At 38.8% G+C, this 6,487-nt stretch overlaps 1 annotated feature.

The window, feature by feature from the left end:
- Positions 5,429-6,001: an enhancer, noted in NCBI's record as "OCT4-NANOG hESC enhancer chr5:51374182-51374754 (GRCh37/hg19 assembly coordinates)". NCBI's record gives its function as "activates a minimal SCP1, AML or CMV promoter by ChIP-STARR-seq in primed H9 embryonic stem cells {active_cell/tissue: H9 hESC(primed)}" and the evidence as "EXISTENCE:reporter gene assay evidence [ECO:0000049][PMID:30033119]".

The raw sequence follows: 6,487 nt of genomic DNA, 5'->3' as shown, positions 1-6,487 counted from the left end.
GGAGGTAATTGAATCATGGGGTCCAGTCTTTCCCTTGTTATTCTCATGATAGTTAATAGGTCTCATGAGATCTGATGGGTATCAGGGGTTTCTGCTTTTGCTTCCTCCTCATTTTTCTCTTGCCACCACCATGTAAGAAGTGCCTTTTGCCTCCCACCATGATTCTGAGGCCTCCCAGACATGTGGAACTGTAAGTCCAATTAAACTTCTTTTTCTTCCCAGTCTTGGGTATGTCTTTATCAGCAGCATGAAAATGGACTAATACAGTAAATTGGTATCAGTAGAGTGGGACATTGATGAAAAGATACCTGAAAATGTGAATGTGACTTTGGAACTGGGTAATAGGCAGAGATTGAAACAGTTTGAAGGGCTCAGAAGAAGACAGGAAAATCTGGGGAAGTTTGGAACTTCCTAGAGACTTGTTGAATGGCTTTGCCCAAAATGCTGATAGCGATATGGACAATAAGGTCCAGGCTGAGGTAGTCTCAGATGGAAATGAGGAACTTGTTAGGAACTGGAGTAAAGGTGATTCTTGTTATGTTTTAGCAAAGAGACTGGGGTCATTTTGTCCCTGCCCTAGAGATTTGTGGAACTTTGAACTTGAGAAAAATTATTTAGGGTATCTGGCAGAAGAAATTTCTAAGCAGCAGAGCATTCAAAAGGTGACTTGGGTTCTATTAGAGGCCTTCAGTTTTATAAGGGAAACATGGCATAAAAGTTTAGAAAATTTGCAGCCTGACTATGCAATGGAAAAGAAAAATCCATTTTCTGGAGAGAAATTCAAGCTGGCTGTAGAAATGTGCCTAAGTAGCAAGGAGCCTAATGTTAATCCCCAAGACCATGGGGAAAATGTCTCCAGGCCATGCCAGAGACCTTCATGGCAGCCCCTCCCATTACAAGCCCAGGAGGTAAAAATGGTTTCATGAGGCGAGCCCAGGGTCCCTGTGCTGTGTGCAGCCTGGGGACTTCATGCCCTGTGTCCCAGCCACTCCAGCCATGGCTGAAAGGGGCCATTGTACAGCTCAGTGCCTTCAGAGGGTGGAAGCCCCAAACCTTGGCAACTTCCACAAGGTGTTGAGCCTGCAGGTGCACACAAGTCAAGAGAATTGAGGTTTGGGAACCTCCACTTAGGTTTCAGAGGAAGTATGGAAACGCCTGGATATGCCGTGGCTGGGGCAGGGCCCTCATGGGGAACCTCTGCTAGGGCAGTACTGAAGAGAAATGTGGGGTCGGAGCCCCCACACAGAGCCCCTACTGGGGCACTGCCTAGTAGAGCTGTGAGAAGAGGGCCACCATCCTCCAGAATCCTGAGATCCACCATCTGAGATCCACCAACAGCTTGCACTGTGTGCCTGGAAAAGCCGCAGACACTCAACACCAACCCGTGAAAGCAGCTGGGAGGGAGGCTGTACCCTGTAAAGCCACAGGGGTGGAGCTGCCCAAGACCATGGGAACCCACCTCTTGCATCAGCGTGACCTGGATGTGAGACCTGGCGTCAAAAGAGATCATTTTGGAGCTTTAAAGTTTGACTCTCCCACTGGATTTCTGGTTTGCATGGGCCCTGTAACCCCTTTGTTTTGGCCAATTTCTCCCATTTAGAATGGCTGTATTTACCGAATACCTGTACCCCCATTGTATCTAGGAAGTAACAAGCTTGCTTTTGATTTTACAGGCTCATAGATGGGAGGGGCTTGCCTTTTTTAAGATGAAACTTCGGACTGTGGACTTTTGGGTTAATGCTGAAATGAGTTAAGACTTTGGGGGACTGTAGGGAAGGCATGATTGGCTTTGAAATGTGAGGACATGAGATTTGAGATTTGGAGGGTCCAGGGACAGAAATGATATGGTTTGGCTGTGTCCCCACCCAAATCTCAACTTGAATTGTGTCTTCCAGAATTCTCACGTGTTGTTGGAGTGACCCAAGGGGAGGTAATTGAATGAATCATGGGGGCCAGTCTTTCCCGTGCTATTCTTATGATAGTGAATAAGTTTAATGAGATCTTATGGGTTTATCAAGGGTTTCCACTTTTGCCTCCTCCTCATTTTTCTCTTGTCACCGCCATGTAAGAAGTGCCTTTTTCCTCCCACCATGGTTCTGAGACCTCCGTAGCCATGTGGAACTGTAAGTCCAATTAAACCTCTCTTTCTTCCCAGTCTTGGGTATGTCTTTATCAGCAGTGTGAAAACGGACTAATACAAATACTCATGCGAACTCACAGTGTTAATATTTAGAACTACTTCCTTCTTATTTTTAGCTATTTTGTTTTAAATATTTACATTGTCCAAGCATCAAACTTCCATACTCTAAAGACAAAAGAATCAATGGCATTTTTAAGGGGACCATGAAAACCTCTGGAAAAAAATAGCATGCTTTACTTTTGCAAGGGAGGAGCTATGTCTTATTTACTATTGTGCTCCTGTTAGCAAGTGAAGTGCTTGGCAACTAGTAAGCAGTCAATAGTGATGCACAAATGAATGAATAAATAGGAAGAGGATGCTTCTAATTTCTCATCCCTACCCTACTTTATTACCTTCAAGGAGAAATGAATGAAGGCTCAATCTGTTATTAATGGTAAAAATTAATATTCATTGTCTAACAGATTTTTAACGTATTTTTTTCTTTACTGCTGAACACAGTCTTAAGATTTTGATTCTCTATATTTGGAATACTCTCTGAGTAGTCCAAAAACTCCGCATTGCTAGTTGGAAGGTAGAAGAAACTAGGGCCAGCCAACAATCTGTCTGAAAATAGAGAGAAACCATCCACCTGGGGTCAATGACCCACTCTATTTCATGAAGCCATCTCATTTCCACACTGAAGTGCTCTGGATGGGTGAAAATGGCAACACTTATTGGTTCAGGTAACCAAGGTCACAGAAGGGGTTCACTTTTCAATTAGATTCACTCAGAGAAGTCTGTAAAGCATCCTACTGAGGAGAACTAAGACTCCAACTTGCTCATGATCCGTCTGAGTGAACTGATTGGTAATCTATGCTATAGCATCCTGCCTCTCTGCCTCCAGAATAGCTCAACCTATCAGAACCAAATATTCACAGATAATTTTTTTAAATGCAGAGCATAAAATAAGATTTAATCAGAATCAATTGCCTAGTTTTTTTTTAAATTTATACATCTGGATAAAAGAGGAGTCATTTCTAAAAGATAATTTTGAACTCCCAAATAATATACCTAAATAAACCCAATTTTGATTAATTTGATCAATTCAGGTTAAATATTAGTGTGAAGGTTTATTCAACCCTATTTCTAAAGATTCACTCATTTATGATGCAGTCACATTTAACACTGACCACAGGAGACTCACCTACACACATATACATTACCCACATGCCTCACACATTTGCAAAGAAAAGTCTGCAGGTATTTAATTCACTGAAAAGTAGTAGAAAGCTTGACAATGTCCACAGACTTATAAAAGGTCCATTCTGATACCAGAGAGCTGAGCTAAAACAGAAATCCAAAACTGGTTAATTTATGATCACTTCTGAAAAAAGTAATGAAACATTTGTTTCCTTAACTTTGAGATGGATTATTCTGCAAACAGCATCACAGCCAACAACAGAGATTCTCTGGGATAAAGCAGGAATCTAGTTGAGAAGAAAAGAGGAGGCAGAAAGAAAACAGCTTAAGCAGTGGGTATGAAACCATGTAGCAGTTTAGATGGAATTTGATAGTTACCTTCCCCAGGTTGGCACATGAAAGCATGTAACACATAGTGCATGGCTTCAGCAATCACCCTCAGATCCCTTCCCAAACACTCTCACCTACTTACAGGTTCCTATATTCCAATTTTAGAATTCCTATCTCCAGAGACCTTGCTTCAGTCTACTTCTAGATCATTCCCCTGACTTTTCCTTTGGGCTTCATACATGGCCCTGGACTTTTATTATTTTATTTGAAGTACATCTTTCTGCCTACACTTCAGTTTCGTCATAGGGTCTCTATAAGGTGGGGAGGCCTTAGGATGTAGCAAAAGAGGTTGGGTTTCAGATGGCAGATATTTTTAGAGACCTCCCTCTGTGAGCCTGGGTCCCTGAAAAAGTTTATTCAGCTTTTGACATTAAGCAAAATTTAGCCAACATTTTTGAAGCATTTTTATGATGGTGAAATTTTATTCCATTAAATTATAAAGCACACGAAACATAGTTCAAGTAGACTATGAACTCTTTACATCAAGCACCTTGTCTCATCATTTATCACAATGCTCAGTATACTAGAAGTCAATGAATACCAAATGAAAGAATTCAAGAATGAAAAATGGCAAACGAAATGTATCTTATTTCTTAAATAAATTTAAGAAATAAATTTAGGTAACATAAATTGATGAAATTTTTAGTCAGTTTTTATGCAACTTTAGAAACTTCATCTATTACCAAAGTCTTTTTGATTATTTTTCTCTTAGATTCAAGCAGCAGCAATGAATGGAAAATCCTATATAAAAATTGCTTCTAAAATTTAAATTCAAGTTTCTAACATTCAAAAACTTTTAAAGCCATTTTAAAATTAAACTTAGTTTACTTTAATTTTTATAGACTTGTACCAATGTCACATTTTTATCACAGGCTTTGCATTTTCTTACAGCCGTTCCTTCTTTTAAGAAGTTCTAAGTACCAAAGCTTTCCTGATTTATTTCAGTCATTCTTGACTCTATCATATTACTGCAGCTAGTTGACTTTCTTATATTTTTCTATACAGTTATTTTTTATTTGACATTTTAGCAACAATAATTTGAGTAAAACACAAAAATACTAAAATCTTTTTCTCTATTTTTAATATCATGGTAACCTCTCTTCTTTATTGTGGCATTTGATTAATTGTATATGTTCAGGTAAATTAATTTTCTTTAAACTTTATCTTTCAATTGCTTTCCAGTCTGACAACTGACAGGTAATAAAATGTTTCGATTAGCACTTTTGTACAAACTTATACAAAGTTGAACTTGATGTCAAGCTCTCTCAGAATTATTTAATCACTATGATTGGAAGGGAAGATGGATTTTGATTAACACTAGGTGAACCAATCAGTAAAGACCTTGAACTTACAAAAGTTACTACTGGCTATTTCAAATAACAGTGATAATCTAAAAGCCAACCTTTAAGCCATTAGCACAAAATGGCCAATGATAACTCGATAAAAGGACCTTTTTATGTCAAGTTTGTATTCTGTGCCAGTATTCTAGAAATTCAAATTGTGCTGTTCTTACTGTTACTACTGGTTTTGCTCTAGAATTTTTTCTCCAGCTTATCATTTAGATAACTTTATTCCCAAAGCTCCATTCGAAGTACAAATCAGAGAAATATCACGGAAAAAATAACCAGCTGGGTACCTTTTCTGCCCACCTGTTTTGCAGATCCCAATTTTGATGTAGTAGTTGAAGTCAAAAGGTAGGTAAGGTCAAGGTGAAGGCGTGCCACTTCAAAATTCTCAAGATCCATTGGATATGAGACTTAAACAAACAAGAAATTACTTTCATTGATTAAATGTAGATTGAATTATGAGGGAAAAATGACAGGCACCGCTAAGGTTATGTCCTCTACTCATTGTTTAACTCAGCATGACTGATTCAATCTGCTGAGCCCCAAGGAAGGCCAAAGATGTCACTCATGGACTCCACACAATGCAGAATCCTTAGAAGAGCAAAATCGAAAAGTTGCACTTTATCCACTCACAGCCTGGAGCCACTGTTCTCATTCCGTCTTGTGTTAGCAGAACAATGAACTGCAGCAGGCACTGGGCTGCTCCGCATAATAATTATAGGTATCCCACAGGCAAAGCTGTTGTTGCTTTTAAGACTTGACAGAATGTGTCTTGTAGGCATGACCTAGCAGATGGGGACTTTTTCCTTTCATCTTTTCCCAAAAGCCACCTAGGTGAAATATATAAAGCATCTTGATAAGGGATATATTTTCTCCTATAGGGGTAAGTTGATTACTATAAGCTGCTCTTCTTGTTCATTCACCTTAAAAATAATTGCCACTCTGGTGGAAGAAGTCAAGTATAGCCACAGAGGCAGGGATAGACCTTTTGCTCCATCCTGCTAATTTGTGTCACCTACTGCACTGCCTTATGTATTGATGGTAGAAAAAAAATGAAGCAGAAAATTAAGTCTGAAAGGATTTTTTGTCCTGCTGTCACTTTGTACAACATTTAGTTCAGTTGACATGACACTGTGCCTTTTGTTACATAAAACTGTCACATTGTCCCCTTCTAGTTAGCTGCAGTTGCTGGCCAAATCAATAATATCTGTCAAAACTGTCAAATAATGAAAGGATCCTATGATATGTTGGCTACAGAGAACGATATTTTTTTACCATCTTTTAAAAATGTTACCAAATTAGGTTCAAATACATATTAGAAATAAAGAAAAGAGATAAGCTTTGTGAATGATACGATAAAATTGAGATGAAGACATCACCTACGCACATTACATATACATTATTTGATATGCTGCTTGTAGTTTTAATGACA

Source organism: Homo sapiens, chromosome 5, assembly GCF_000001405.40.
Source record: "Homo sapiens chromosome 5, GRCh38.p14 Primary Assembly".
Lineage (NCBI taxonomy): Eukaryota > Metazoa > Chordata > Mammalia > Primates > Hominidae > Homo > Homo sapiens.
This window is presented reverse-complemented; position numbering and strand designations above follow the sequence as displayed.